The sequence below is a fragment of the Homo sapiens genome, chromosome 5 (genome assembly GCF_000001405.40).
Source record: "Homo sapiens chromosome 5, GRCh38.p14 Primary Assembly".
Classification (NCBI taxonomy): Eukaryota; Metazoa; Chordata; class Mammalia; order Primates; family Hominidae; genus Homo; species Homo sapiens.
In genome coordinates, this window is record NC_000005.10 from 176,716,358 (window position 1) to 176,731,637 (window position 15,280).

The 15,280-nt window shown below is 53.0% G+C and overlaps 3 annotated features.

Annotated features, from left to right (window-relative positions):
* Window positions 4,781–5,280: an enhancer, noted in NCBI's record as "H3K4me1 hESC enhancer chr5:176148139-176148638 (GRCh37/hg19 assembly coordinates)". NCBI's record gives its function as "activates a minimal SCP1, AML or CMV promoter by ChIP-STARR-seq in naive H9 embryonic stem cells {active_cell/tissue: H9 hESC(naive)}" and the evidence as "EXISTENCE:reporter gene assay evidence [ECO:0000049][PMID:30033119]".
* Window positions 8,860–9,391: an enhancer, noted in NCBI's record as "H3K4me1 hESC enhancer chr5:176152218-176152749 (GRCh37/hg19 assembly coordinates)". NCBI's record gives its function as "activates a minimal SCP1, AML or CMV promoter by ChIP-STARR-seq in naive H9 embryonic stem cells {active_cell/tissue: H9 hESC(naive)}" and the evidence as "EXISTENCE:reporter gene assay evidence [ECO:0000049][PMID:30033119]".
* Window positions 9,392–9,922: an enhancer, noted in NCBI's record as "H3K4me1 hESC enhancer chr5:176152750-176153280 (GRCh37/hg19 assembly coordinates)". NCBI's record gives its function as "activates a minimal SCP1, AML or CMV promoter by ChIP-STARR-seq in naive H9 embryonic stem cells {active_cell/tissue: H9 hESC(naive)}" and the evidence as "EXISTENCE:reporter gene assay evidence [ECO:0000049][PMID:30033119]".

Here is a 15,280-nt window from a genome sequence, read left to right on the forward strand (position 1 = left end):
ATTCCATGATGAGCCGTCCCTAAGCTGTCTGCTGATTTGAGGCTCATCAGATCATGATCAAGTTCCAAAATGCAGACTGGAAGCTCCCAGATCTTGATGAGTCATCACCTGGCGAACCTCCCAGTGTTGGTAAGTTGAGGTCTTGCATTTGGGCTGGCCAGATCCCTAGGAAAGACTCAATCTCCTGCCTGGTAAAAATCTCTGGCTTATCAGCTTCTGGAACTGATTAAGGGAAGGAAGCTGGGCAGGGGGGTCCCAGGATTCTGTAGCCCCCGTTTTCAGTACAGCAGCTCTTAGCTGTGCCTCGCCTCCCCCAGTCTAGTGCATAAACCTTGGACTTTTGCTAGTGGTTGGGGAGAGGATGGGAGTAGTGATCTAACAGCTTGGAGGGAGGTAGGGGATCTAGAGCCTATCGGTTTTCAAAAGCTTTTGCTCCACTCTTTCTTGTTTTAACTCCCATTCATCCCCATTTCCAGGTGTACCTGCAGCTGCAAGTTCCTGAGGCTTTGAGGGCTCTGAGATGTGAATAGACTTGGATCTCTTCTAGAGAATCAAATAGCCTAAGGTCCTGTCCAACGGAGCCCTCTCTGTCAGGTATCACTCATCCCTCTGTTCCCAGGTTCCACAACTGCGTTGCTGTCATCTCCTCCTCTGTTATCTTTCTTATCAAATTGGTGTTTTTTAAAAGATCATTTGCTGTCCAGGCGCAGTGGTTCATGCCTGTAATCCCAACATTTTGGGAGGCTGAGGTGGGAGGATCAGGCCAGGAGGCCTGAGTTCGAGATCAGCCTGGGTGACATAGTGAGATCCCATCTCCACAAAAAAATAAAACAAGTATCAGGGCATGGTGGTGCACTCCCGGAGTCCCAGCTACTTGGAAGGCTGAGGTGGGAGGATCGATTGAGCCCAGGAGGTGGAGACTGCAGTGAGCTATGACCGCTCCACTAAACTCCAGCCTGAATGATGAAGCAAGACCCTGTCGCTAAAAAATAAAAATAAAATTTAAAAATTCATTTGCTGTATTTTAAGTGGAGGATGGGCAGGAGTGAAATTAGATATGCATGTTCTGTCTGCCATCATATCTCACCCTCCACAGCTTACAAAGGAGGTGATGGGAGTGAGAGTTAGGGCTTCTGATGGAGATGAACAGGCACGGAACACCTAACCCCCTCCTGTGTATGGGCGACCCTCACTTTATGAGGCTGAGCCCATCACCCCTTGTAGAAGGGGTATGACGATGCCATATACATACTTGCCTGTCATGCCGAGCAGCTAGGCTGGGATTCTGTGCCCAAGCCCAGCCAATAAGACGCTCCCCGCCAAGATCTGGTCAGGAGCTAGTGAGCAAAGACGCAGGAGTCAGGGAAGACCTTTGGGGCGGGGTAGCAGCAGGGACCATGCCGCATGCAAGCTGAGGTGGGCACGGTCGGGGTGCTGGCAGCCTTGTTCCCATCCGCTGGGTTCTTCAAAGGATTTGGACAATGATCAGCTAAGAGCCCTGAGTGATTCACACAACTGGCTAGTGGCAGGCTACTGGCAGTTGGGGTCAGGGCAGGGACCTCCTGACAGGATGCCATGTCCTTCTCCCTGTGCCCTTGGGTCCTGCTCAGCCCTTTGGAAGCTGCACCTGGAACCTCCCCAAAGGGGGCCTTCCCCACCTGCAAACTTCTCACAACCTCTGTCCTGCTCTGCCTCTCCAGACTGACCCTCTCCTGCCCTTCCCAATCCCGGACCCTTAACCTCCTGTCCCTTATCCAGAGGCAAGTCTCTTAGTCCATTTTTGTGGCTATAAGAAAAAACTCCCAACTGGGTAATTGGTAAAGAACAGAAGTTTCTTTCTCACAGCTCTGGAGGCAGGGAGGCCCACAGTCAAGGAGCTGGCCGGTTGGTGTCTGCCGAGGGCCTGGTCTTTGCTTCCACCATGCTGCTTGGCTGTTGCAGCCTCCAGAGGGGACGAAGGCTGTGTCCTCACCTGGCAGAAAAGCAGAAAGGCAAAAAGGGCCTCAGCTATTTCCCTCGAATCCATTCATGGGGTGGAGTCCTCAGGACCTAATTCCTTCCCAAAGTGCCCAACTCCTAACATTCCCCCAGTAGGGATTCCGTTTCCACATGCATTTTGGAGGGGGCCACACTTCAAGCCGCAGCAAAAGCCTGCCCTGTGGCTTACAGCATCAGCTTACGCAGCCCACTGGGTTCCAGCTCTCCATCTGCCCTGGCCGTCTCTGCTCCTCCTCTGTTTCAGCCAGCTCCATGCTCCCACACCTGTAGAATGCCTTGGCCACCACACTTCTCTCCAGCCAATATTTAAATATTTTTAAAAACATTTCCTATTTCATATGTTTACGCCTGTTCTCCTGGCTAGAAATGTAAGTGCCTTACCCCTTCACTGCAGAGTCCAGGGCCAGGCAACTTGCAAACAATACAGATATACTTTTTGCAAAATGTCCAATAAATGATTTCTTCACTTCCCTGCTCTGTCAAGGAAGAAAGCGTTTATGAACTCATGTATGATTTATAGACACAAATATTGGTAGTGAAAGTTATTCACCCATATCTGACCTTAGTTGTCAACTAGTTTTTATTGTAAAACCAATGTAACGTGAAACATTTTTGGGAAAAAATGGGGAAATCATCCATAATTCTACCTGGCACAACTATTTTCATTTTTATTTTTCCATGTATATTGCCTTCAAGCCCTTTTCCTAAAATGTCCATAGCTCCAATCCTGGTAGTTACTCCCCATAAAACCTGGCTCACAGGACAGGTCCCAAGGCAGCTTTCCTGGACCCTGAGTAACTCCTTGTCTCTCTGCCTCTGTCCTTGACCTTCTCACCCCAAGTGTCGTTCCTTGTTTTCACGTCTCTCCTGCCCTGACGGGGCCAGGAGCTTCCTGGGGGCAGGAGGGCTCCCGCGAGTCTCTTGTGTCCCAAGCACAGAGCCTGGCGCGTGGTTTGTGCTTCTTGCGGTCACAGTTTGGCATTCTGTGCTGTCACTGTGTGTTAGAACAGACGCCTTTTCCCTTGTTGCTCTGTAGTTTTCATAACGATCATTTTTAACCACTCCAGAATATTTCATCAAGTGGATGTTCCATAATTTAGTTAACCAGTCCCCTACCGGGGAACATTTGGGTTGTTTCCAGTTTTTTCTGTATTACAAATAATGCCGCAACAACTGTCCTTGTGCAAGATCATTTATTTCTCCTTTTGAGTAAATTCGTGGAATCCCTGGGTCAGGCAGGCCCCTGGGCTTGGGCACGGCTCACAGGGAGGGACACAGTGCCCCCACCACCATCCCTTCCCTCAGCATAAACACATTCTGTGATGACACAGATCTGTCTTCCTGCTCTTCTGAGCAGTCAGAGATTGTGTTGTCCTCATTCAGCAAATGTTTATTAAAGTTTTATCTATCTTGGATTCTCCAGAGCCTTGTCTTATGCCTTCTGGCTGCTGTAATAAAGCACCATCAGCTAGGTGGCTTACAAACCATAACAGTTTGTTTCTCAAGGTTCTGGAGACTGGGTCAGAGATCAGGGCACTGGCAGGGGTTCTGGTGAGGGCCACTCTTCTGGTTTTGGACGTCAACTTCTTATTGTGTCATCATGGCAGAAAGAGGGCCAGAGAGCTCTCTGGGGTCCCTTTGATAAGGGCACTAATCCATCCATGAGGCTCCACCCTCATGACCAGGGGACCGAGGTTACTTTTTTTTTGGAGAGAGGGTCTCACCCTGTCGCCCAGGCTGCAGTGCAGTGTGGCGATCTCGGCTCACTGCAACCTCTGCCTCCTGGGTTCAAGTGATTCTCCTGCCTCAGCCTCTCGAATAGCTGGGATTACAGGTGTGCACCACCACACTCAGCTAATTTTTGTATTTTAGTAGAGACAGGGTTTCACCATGTTGGTCAGGCTGTTCTCGAACTCCCAACCTCAAGTGATCCGCCCGCCTCGGCCTCCCAAAGTGCTGGGATTACAGGCGTGAGCCACCATGCCCGGCAGAGGTTCCTTTTGACCACCTTAAAACCATCACACTGGGGGTTAGGGCTTTGACGTAGGAATTTGGGGGGATATTGACGTAACAGCCTGTTACATAACCTGGTGTGTCTGAGGCATTTGTGGCCTTGACCTGATGTGCCTGCCCCACATCTGTGCCCCATCTTCTGGCTGCTGGCTCACTGATTTTCTCCTGGGGAACCCCCACCCGTGCCCATGTGCCGCTTCAGTGGGACTGAGGTGACTTTCTGTTACAGCAGTGGACTTGGGCATCAGGCCTGGCCAATCAGAGTACTGCATCTCTGCTTTACAGGGATTGGTTCAGGGAATGTCACATGACTGAGTCAGAGCCAATGATTTGCAACCTTGCGACACTTAGCAATGCCCTTTCTTCCCCCTCAGGGCTGTGAGGACGTCCCAGGAATGATGCCATAATGTCGCTGATGTCATATCGACATAATATTGACAGCGAACATCAGAGCTGCCTGCAGCCAATTTGCCACTGTCTAGGGAGAATCCCTGAAGATGGTGCCAACACAAGGGGAGAGCACCAAGGGAGGCAGAGAGAACCTTCCTTCATTTACTCCTCCTGCCTCTATGTGCTAAGCCCCACTCTGTGCCAGGCCCATTCCTGGCCCTGGGGAAACAGCCACGAACAAGACAGAGTCCCTATTCTCACGGTGCTGACATCCTAGTGAGAGGTGACAGCGTGCTGGCAGTCGTCGCAGCCCTCGCTCGCTCTTGGTGCCTCCTTGGCCTCGGCACTTTTGTGTCTAGCTTGGGGATCGTAAAGGCACCAATCAGCACCCTGTCAAAACGGACCAATCCACTCTCTGTAAAACAGAACAGTCAGCTCTCTGTAAAATGGACCAATCAGCAGGATGTGGGTGGGGCCAGATAAGGGAATAAAAGCAGGCTGCCCGAGCCAGCAGTGGCAACCCGCTCGGGGCCCCTTCCACACTGTGGAAGCTTTGTTTTTTCGCTCCTTGCAATAAATTTTGCTGCTGCTCACCGTTTGGGTCCACACTGCGTTTATGAGCTGTAACACTCACTGGGAAGGTCTGCAGCTTTACTCCTGAGGCCAGCGAGACCACGAACCCACTGGGAGGAAGAAACTGAACACTTCCGAACATCAGAAGGAACAAACTGCGGACACGCGGCCTTTAAGAACTGTTAACACTCACCGCGAGGGTCCGCGGCTTCATTCTTGAAATCAGTGAGACCAAGAACCCACCAATTCCAGACACACTAGCAGGGAGAAGCAGGCCCTAAGCCCAGTAAGCACACAGGTAAACAAGTGAGTAAGTAGGATTGCTCCAGAAAGTGGCAACTGCAGAGAAGAGAAACAGCCCATAGGGGTGAGAGCGGGTAGCTGACGGAGCGTGGCTATTGTGGACTGGCCTTCAGGGGGCCTCTGAAGAGTTGACATTTGAGCGACTTGAACGATGTATTCCAGTTGGAGGCAGTCACCTAAGGCCTAAAGTGGGACATGGCATTGTGCATGTTTTTTGCTTTGTTTTGTTTTACATTTTTCTTTTCTTTCTTTTTTTTTTTTTTTTGAGACAGCGTCTCACTCTGTCACCCAGGCTGGAGGGCAGTGGCATAATCACGGCTCACTGCAGCCTCAAATTCCCCAGGCTCAGGTGATCCTCTCACCTCAGCCTCCCAAGTAGCTGAGATCACAGGCACATGGCACCACACCTGGCTAATTTTTGTATTTTTTGTAGAGACGGGCATCTTCCTATGTTCCCCGGCTGGTCTTGAACTCCTGGTTTCAAGTGATCCGCCCGCCTCCAGCTTCCAAAGTGGTGGGATTACAGGCATGAGCCACTGTGTCTGGTCTTTAATTTTTCAAATATGGTAAAATACACATAACATAAACTACCATTAACCATTTTTTTTCCTGCACAGTTTAGTAGATATGCAGGTTTTGAAGATATTTTTGAACCCCTGGATCCAGCAGTTTCCAAAGCCATCTGCTTCCTGACTTTTCAGGTTTATAAGCCAGTAGTCACCCCAAGTTTGAACTGGATTTTCTGCCACTGGCTCCTGGAGCCTGAGACAATCAGCATTGTTGGAAATCTCTAGAAACACGCTACTCCCCGCAATGCATCTGTTCCCTGCGTCTCTGCAGCCTCACCAGCTCTGGGTATTATCATCAAGCAGCATTAAAGCCTAGAATATGAAATTCAGGGGGAAACAACTGATCCAAGGCGGGAGAGAACCAAAACCGGCCTCGCCTCTCCTCCTGTGAGTTCTCGGTGCCCATCCACACACAACTGGGTTCGGGCCGCTTTGTTCTTTGCTCTGAGCTGTTGTCTTATGGCAGGTTGTGACATTTCCACCTGGAGGTGTCCCGCTCATTGCTCTGGGGACGTTTTTATTTTCATATTTAAAGAGAATTTTTGTGGCAGTCTGTGTCACCAAGGGCTGTCGGGAGCCCCTGGCAATATGATTCTGTCTGAAGAACAAAGAGGCAAATTTGCAGAAGATCAAATGCAGAGGCATCATGAGGGAAGGAGGGCTGAGAGCTGCAGATGAAAACCGTGATGGTTCCAGCCCAGATCTGTGCGTTTTGCTGAGATCTGAGAGCCGTGAATAATGCAGGCTCTACACACAGCCCAGGGTGTGCAGCAGCTGGTGGTGGAGAGGAGGTGGGATCCCCCCAACCTCGTTGAAGACGTGGCTTCGCTGTGAAGAAGCAGGGCTGGGCACAAGCCCTCCAGGCAGGGCCAGCTCCAGTGAAAAGAGCAGCAAAGAGGAGGGATGGAGTTGAGGGGCTCAGGCCGTGCCGGCATACAGATGAGCGTGGGAAGCCCAGATGCAGGGAAAAACACGATCCACTGCCAGCTTCCCGCAGTGGGGGCTGGTGTCCCTGGGGATTTAGGGGGATGCAGAGGCCACATTGAGCTCTCCTGCTGGACCCTGAATACACAGGTACCTTCTCTGCCAGACTCAGGAAGGTGCCTCTGCAGCCTTGGGGTGCAGGCTCTGTGTGCTGCTTCTGGAAGGCCACCTGTTCCCTGGCTCCTGTGTGCCCCCACACCCTCAGCTTGCCACTGCCCCTCCTGGGCCCAGGCCCAGGTCCAAGCTTACCCTCCAGGCGCAGGCCTTTTCCACTCTCCCCCCCAGCCTCCAGCCCTGAGCCTCCACCCCTCCTCCAGCTCCTCCCAGCCTCCCCCTGCTGCAGTCCCTATCCTACCATCCCTACTGGGTCCTCTTCCTCCCCTTCTGCCCTAGTTCTCCCTCCCTTCTCTTGGCGCTCTCAAGCCTCTGGTTGGCTGCCTCATATCTCTTGACACAATCTGACTACCCACTGAGTCTTCCTTCCTGGGTTCACAGCCCCAGACCAGTTCTGTCTCTCTCTCTGCCCAGCTTGAGACATCCGGTGCCCCTGCCCTGCCCCTGTGCAGCACTCTCTCTAGAAACATGGCCCTTCCTTCTGGGAGTGGACTCTCAACCTGGCTACCTAGTATCAGAACCTTCTTCCTGAAAAGGAAGATCCAGCCCCTCTCTGTGTACACAGAAATGCCAGACATACAATCTGGGCCTTCCCCAGAACACAAGGGTCCACCATCAGTAGCACCTACCCCAACTAGCCAGGGCCACAGAGAGTCAGGGACCCCCAGAATCCATCTCTCTGTGTGGGGCAGTGGCAGCACCAGCAACCTCATCCGGCCTCCAGAAGCAGGGGGACAGGACGCAGAGCTGGGCAGGTTGGGGTCTCAAAGCCAAGGGCAAGGGCAGCTGTCTGTCTGCAGCTCCTTCCCAGGCGTTCAGCCTCTCAGCATGATGCTCGGCTTCCCAGAGGGTTTCTGGGCTCCAAATATCCTTTCATAAATGCCCTTCCTGTTTACCTGAGCCTGAAAGAACTTCCATTGCGTTGGGTTGTATTTCATTATATTACAGTGAAAGACCCTGCCTTGCCCATCACCTTTTTCGTTTTTTTTAAAACCCTATTCTAGTATCTCTTTAATATAAATTTATTAAGTTTAAAACATAAATTCTTGCAAAGAAAAATATTAAGTAAAATATTAAGTAAATTAAAAATTCAAATTATGAGTCCAAAATCCTGAAACCAGAAAAGATTTGACAGTATCAAAATTGTAAATGCATATATGTGTCCTTTAAACCAACAATCCCTCCTTTCCTATTCAGCCAGTAAAGCCTGGAGATTAGAGGCCTTTCCAAATCAGGGGATAGAAACCTTCCCCACCTGCCCTTCTCCTCCTTTCTATTTTTGTTCTCACAGCTATAGAGTATCCCACGGTCCTGACAGGCCCTAGCTCATTGAGCCAGCCCCTTGTGGGCGGACACCTGAGTTGTTTTCAATCTTTTGCTCTTGTAGTGCAGTGAATAGCCTTACACCTATGTCATCGAGTTAGTACAAAGTGGAGCATGCACGCGATAAATCTATCAAGGGAGAAAACGAGATACGGAACAGTCCATAGGACACACTCGGTTTTGTACAAGAAAGAGAGAAAATAAGAATATGTTTTCATATTTGTTATACTTCAACAAAGATACTCTGGATGGACAGATGGAAAGCTGGTAAGCATACCTGCCTTTGTGGTGAGGGTGGGTGGGGCAGCAGGTTAGGGGAGAGACTTCCCATTCACCTTTTTTTTTTTTTTTTGAGACAGAGTCTCCCTCTGTCGCCCAGGCTGGAGTGCAGTGGCACCATCTCGGCTCACTTCAGCTTCCACCTCCCAGGTTCAAGCGATTCTCCTGCCTCAGCCTCCTGAGTAGCTGGGACTACGGGCACAAGCCATCATGCCTGGCTAATTTTTTTGTATTTTTAGTGGAGACCGGGTGTTACCATGTTGGTCAGGCTGGTCTCAAACTCCTCACCTCAGGTAATCCTCCCGCCTCGGTCTCCCAAAGTGCTGGGATTACGGGTATGAGCCCCTGCACCCAGCTCCATTTACCTTTTAAGCTCCTTCTGCTTTTGGAACCATGTGATTGTATTACCTAGTTACAAAACAAAAACATAAATGAATGTAGAGGTGGAACACAGAGGTGACCAAAATCCTGACTGTGGCAGCTAATGGCTGACTTTGGGGAGCTGCTCCATACTGTGGTCTTGAGCTGTCTCTTGCACTCCTCCTTCACCTGCAGGAGCCAGCAGGGAGCTGGAGAGAGGGTGGGGATAGCACTCAAGAGTGCAGACCCCCGCCCAGCTGTGTGCACATGCACGCAGCTGCCAGCAGCAACCAGAGCCACCCCTGGCATCCTGTGTCAAGCCCGCGGTGTTCTGGAGTGGTGATGAAGGGCCTCTCCCTCAAACTGGACACCTTAAATCCTGCTTCCCGCCACCAAGGGAAGACTCCAGAGGGGCCTGCCCGGGTTGAGAAACTGCCCAGTGACAGCCATTTGGCTCCCTTCCCGTACTCATATAGACACAGCCTGGCCCAGGCGGTGACTGCTTCCTACCTGCACAGACACCACCTGACCCACACACGAGAGACCAGCAGAGCAGCCCACACCATTGTCCCCAGATCTTGGCACCCTGAAGAAGCTGAGCTGAGCACACACAATTAAAATCTCCCCTCTGCAGCCAGAGGAAGGACCTGGGCTTTGGGGAGGGCACCAGGAGCAGGCGGCTGGGGGCAGGGCCATGCTCCCTTTTTGTCTCTAGCTGCCTTTTGTTCAAAGATAAACATGCCTCGGCCTCCTTCCCCTACCTGAAAGCCGCTTCTGCCGGCGAGAGAAATCGTACACAATCTCTGCTCTGGATGTACAAAAAGTCTGAAATTGCTTGGAGACCAGGCGGGAGGGAGCGGGGTGAGGCTGGGGGATCCGGGCGGGTAATTGCGGGTCATCCATCTGCCTTGTCGGAGGCACCAGCCCCGCAGCATTTGCAGAGAGGACTCCGTGAATTTGCTTTTTCCCCACATCTTGCATTACTTACTCTTGCCTCAGCAGCCATAAAACCTTTTCCTAAAACTGCCCTCAAGCATAATAAACAGGAGACATTCGGAACTGGTGAGAAAGACAACCCCAAAATGATGCACTTGGCCATTCTCAGGGTTCCTGAGCCGAATCTGCTTTGGGGGACTGGGGGGTTTCCACCGGACCCCAGCACTGCCGAGGACACCAGGGCTGCAGCATGGTGGGGGCTCTCAGTCTCTCCCTCCTTCACCCTGCTCAGAGGAGTGACCCTGGAAGGCCGCCTCTGAATGGGCCTTAGGGCTTAGAAGCTACCAGAACCCGCTCAGCCCGCCTGCATTCCTCCAGGTAGCCCACCAGTGACCCTTGAGTTGGGTTCCGCCTGGCCTAGAGCCAGTTCTCTCCCTGACCTGAAGTGAGCGGTGGAGAACAGGGGGCTGGGGTGATGGGTAATGCGACATTGGAATGACCTGCCCAGCACCCAGGCAGGATGCAGGACCAAAGACCTCCCCAACCCGCAGCCCCACAGGGGCTAACAAGACCAGAGCTTCGTGCTCCTTGTTGGGAGGAGCCGGACTTGCTGAGAAGCAGGGGGCTCAGCTCTGGAACCTTTTGCCTGGGGAATACGGGCCACCGTGAGACCTTACCGCAGTCTTGTCACCTCACCGGGTCTTGGCTTCCCCATTGAACAGTGTGAGCGGCACCGTGACAACAATGGCAGGAAATGTGTGTTGCTCACGTGGAACATGCCAGGCCCGGCCCAAGCACTTGTTGTGGAGGCTGTCATCTCGCGGCCCAGGTCGGCTGCAGGGTCAGGCTGTGCCATGGCCGGGTGCGGTGGGGGTGCTGTTTGTAAATAACAACCTTTATTTACAGTCTATAAAGGCTCCATTAAAGCCAGAGGTTTTCAGAGTCCAAAGGGGCCCTAGAGGCCATGCAGGCCCACCTTCTCTCTCTCAACACCCCAAACTCACGCCCGAGGAGGCTGAGGGACCCTCCTGGGGGCACACAGAGGTGGGGCAGACAGGGACAAGAGTGTGGGTCTCCAGGCTGGCCATGTGGCCGCCTGCCCTTCCTTTCTTCGCTGGCCCCGGAGGCAGGGAGTAGGGGCGCACAGGCCTCCACCCTTGGTCTAGGAGGTGTCAGCAGCGGGAGGAGGCTCCTGTCCTGGGGCTGTCGCAGCTCTTGCCCTGCCCTTTGGTGGGCTTTGTCCTTGGCTTCTCCTGTTGTGGAGGGCTGGGGCAGCTCCTGGAGACTCCCCACTCCCCTTCACGAGGGATTCCCCCTCACCCTTTCCAGCTTCCTCTGCCTATGAGAGAGGTGGGAGTGAACCCCAGCTGTGGCCCTCTCCATGCTGTCCATCACCAGTGGCTGCAGAGGACAGAGCGGCTGGAGGAGCTCACGCCGCCTGCCGCTGGGGACGATTCTGGTCTCAGCCTGCAGGGGCGTGGGGGACCCCGGGCCTTGGCCTGTGGGAGAAGGTGTATCTGTCAGTTCTAGGGGCAGCAGGGGGTGAAATCCCTGCCGGCAGCCTCATCACCTTTTCAAGGGTAGGGCTTGCAAGCTCTCATGCCCACAGCCAAGCCAGCCAGGTGGGGACAGCCCAGGGCGGACCCTTGGGGCTCCAGCTGACAGAAGCACTCGCAAGACAGGCCGGTGTGGGTGGCCGTGCTGCATTTTGAAGAGGAATCGGAAGCCCGGGCTTTTAAAATAGGAAATGTCCTGAGTTGTAGGCACTGCCAGTCACACATGACCCATGAGCCCGTCCTGTGGGGGTGCTCCTGGCTCCAGGGACCCAGGCCCTCTGTTCGGTGGGGCTGTGCTGGGGCTGGGAGGGGAGGCACTCCACTCGCTCACACACCAGAGGCTCCCATGAGGAGGCCCCGTGTTCCTAAGGTGGGAGCAGAGGCCTGGAGAGATCGGGCAGTTTGCCGGGACTGCAGACTGAGCAACAGCTCCCACCACCCTCAGAGCCTGTGCTTTCCAGGCGCTTCCCCCAAAGCCACCACTGCCAGAGGTTCTGGGATGCCCCCTCCTTTGCCTTCTGCATGCTGGGTCCTCTGATGTGCCCCTCTCTGCCAGGAGCTCAGGATGGAACCCCAGACATGGCCAGCCACTCCTCGGCAGGCCAGCCTCAGTCCTCTGTCAAGGCAGGGTTCCTGGACCACAGGTCTTTGTCACTCCTGTCCTGGCTTGGGCACTGAGCTGTTTTGCCCTCTTACCTCTGTCTACTCGATGTCCCCAGGTGGGTACCTTGGGAGGATTCCTGAGGCAGGACACACTCGCCCTCAGGGCTCTGATGGGCCCCAGAACCTCATCTGAGCCTCAGTTTCCCAGCCTGTGAGATGGGGCTGATAACCCAGCCGTCGGATTCCCAGGGCTGCAGAGGGTGCTGCGGGGTCCGGCATCTTCCCTCACAGGGAAGGAAAGGGGTCCGTGCAGGCTGCTCTCCTAGGCCTCAGTTTAATAGGCCTCAGATTTGCACTGGAGACTCACAAAGATGCTCTGTCGGGATGGAGAGAAGAAGGCAGGTGTCACTCTGCATAACTGGCCATCTCGCCTCTGTCTTCTCCCTCGTTCTCTGGGGAATCTCGGCACCCCTGTGAACTCCGTCCGCAGGATCTGTCCAGAACCCAGCCCCACCTTCTGCCTCCCTTGGGCCCTGTGGGCTGAAGGCCTGTCTCAGCATCTCCTTCCCTGTCCCCGGGCTCTGGCCACCCAGCCTCCTTTCCAGCCACTCCCACTGAGGGCCTCTGCCTCTGCGGCTTACCCAACCTGGAAGGTTCTCCCCGCAGACAGCTGTGTGCCGCTCTCCTCTTTCTTGAATCTCTGCTCACATCATCCTATCAATCAGAGAGGCCTCTTGGAGCCACCCCACAGAAGAGGGAAGCCGCTCCTTCCCCGGCCTCCCGCACCCCAGCCCCTTGGCCCAGCTTTGCCTGCTCAGCACACACCCCCACCTGGCGCCTTGAACAGCTGCTTAGTGCTTCTCTACTTCGCCTCCAATGCAACTGGCTATAAAACAGACCCCATGTCTGTTTTGTTCCCTGATGTCTCCCCAGTGCCTGGCCCCTAAGTAGGAGCTCTGGAAACACGTGCTGAATGAATGAGTGAATGAATGGTTGAATGTAAACATTTAAGTTATCCCGCAGTTTCTGTAACCCTATGGGGAATTTCTGGCATTTTTAACATATGAGACCCAAAACATGGTTTTACTGGAGAGTCTCCTTTCTCAAGAAGCTCCCAGCAGGAGCATGATGGTGGGTGGCTGAGTCCAGAGGTTCTGCCCACCCCAGGGAAGGAGGAAGACAGCACAGACATGCTCAGTGCCAGGGGGCAAGAATGTCCCCCCACAGAGAGGAGGCAGCTCGGTCTATGTCCCCGGGGGCTCAGAGCAATGCCCAACAGAAGTTCCGGTGCAGGGGAATCCCAACACAAAACCAACTCTTCATTGTGACACAGGCCATGAGGAGAATCTTCAGAAAGGGCATTTACAGGATGTGTGGGAGCTGTTAAGCTCACTTGAGGAAGGAAGAGTAAGGAAAGGAGAATGGTGCAGACACAAACACATGGGCAGAGTGTGCTGGGTGAATGGGCTTTCCTCCTCCTGGGACATCACAAGTTCTGTTTAAGAAAAGGGCAAAAGGGGCTGGGCACAGTGGCTCACACCTGTAATCCCAGCACTTTGGGAGGCCAAGGCAGGCAGATCACTTGAGGCCAGGAGTTAGGGACCAGCCTGGCTGACATGGCAAAACCTCGTCTCTACTAAAAATACAAAAATTAGCTGGGCATGGTGGTGGTGCACCTGTAATCCCAGCTACTCGGGAGGCTGAGGCAGGAGGATCCCTTGAACCAGAGAGGCAGAGGTTGCAGTGAGCCGAGATTGCGCCACTGCACTCCAACCCGGGCGACAGAGCGAGACTCTGTCTAAAGAAAGAAAGAAAGAGAAAAGGGCAAAAAGTTGGCAAACACTGGATTAAACAAAGTTAGATTGATTTTGTCACTGCAGGACTCACCAGAGCCTTTAATGGGGTATAGCGTGCCCCATTTCCCAAACTGATTTGTTTCATGGAGGATGTGGAGAGCTCAGAGGGCCATCTAGACCACCTTGGGAATTAGGAATTACTGACAAGAGCAGAGGGGCACATGGCAGCCAGGGATGGGGGTGGGGGACAGGGGGGATACGACTGAAAAATGAAGCTGGGGTCCATTTGTAAACTCTTTGAATGCCCTGCATTCAGGAAAGGGCTGCTATAGCTGAGCACTGCACAGCTGCCGGGAACACCAACCCCAGAAAATACAACCTGAATGGTGGCTCCTGGAGCTGTGCAGTGCACACTCTGAACATCTGTCCATAGCAGCATGCCCAGAGGTGGGCAAGGCTCATTCGGCCCCAGTGAATTGCTGCCAAGTGGGAAGATGCTATAGACTAGTGCCCACCAGTATTGAAACTGGTAAAACTAGTGGTCACAGAAGACTGTACTTCTCAGCCCTTGGGGTGTGGATGGGCCACATGACTAGTTTCAGTCAATGACAAGTGAGCAGAAGTCAGGCGATGTCACATGCTGAAGCCGTGCAATGTCCCTGTGCTCTTCTTCTGTTTCTTCTTTCCCAGAAGCAGCAACTGACAAGGTCATGTGTCTCAGATGCCACTTAAAAATGGTGGTGCCTCCATCAGCCTGGTTCCCTAAGTGACTGTGTGGAGCAGAGTGCCCTGGCTACCTGCACTGAATATGTGGTGCTCATAAGAAATAAAGACCTGCGTGGTAAGCTCCTGTGACTTGGAGGTGCTTGTTACTGCAGCATAGCTCAGCCTGTCCTGACCTACACAGAAATAGAGGTAAATGTTGTCCTGACTTGTGATTTTGAAAAGAAATCTTCTGGTGTTAAATGTTGGAGACAGGATAAAAATACAACCAATATAGCGCAGACCAAGCAGAATCCCTCTGCAGGAGAGGCGTGGCCCACGGGCCACTGGTTTGCAGCCTACCCACCATCGCAGGCTCAGCTGTAGGGCCTCAGAGGACCGTACATAGAACGTGAGCTAACTCATTTTTCTGTACTTTCCCATGCAATCTCAGATCTACTTGTGGGCGTACCGGGACAGAATGAGACTCTCTGCTCTATGATTAACTGGAAGAGATTGCCTGGTTACAAACAGAGAAAAAGAAGGCAATTCTGTGGCTCTTTTAGAAGCTGCTGAAAAGCAGTATTTGGGCATTTGAACGCCTGTGGGCCAGCAGCTATGAGACGAGGGCTGAATCCGACTTCAGGATGCAGGAAACGGGGTTAGGAACTCATGGTTCAAATTCCAGCTCTGCTATTTGGTGTGTCACCTTGGGCATGTCACCTCACCTCTCTGAGCCCATTTCCTTGTTGGGAGGTTGGGGATCATCATAGAAACCACT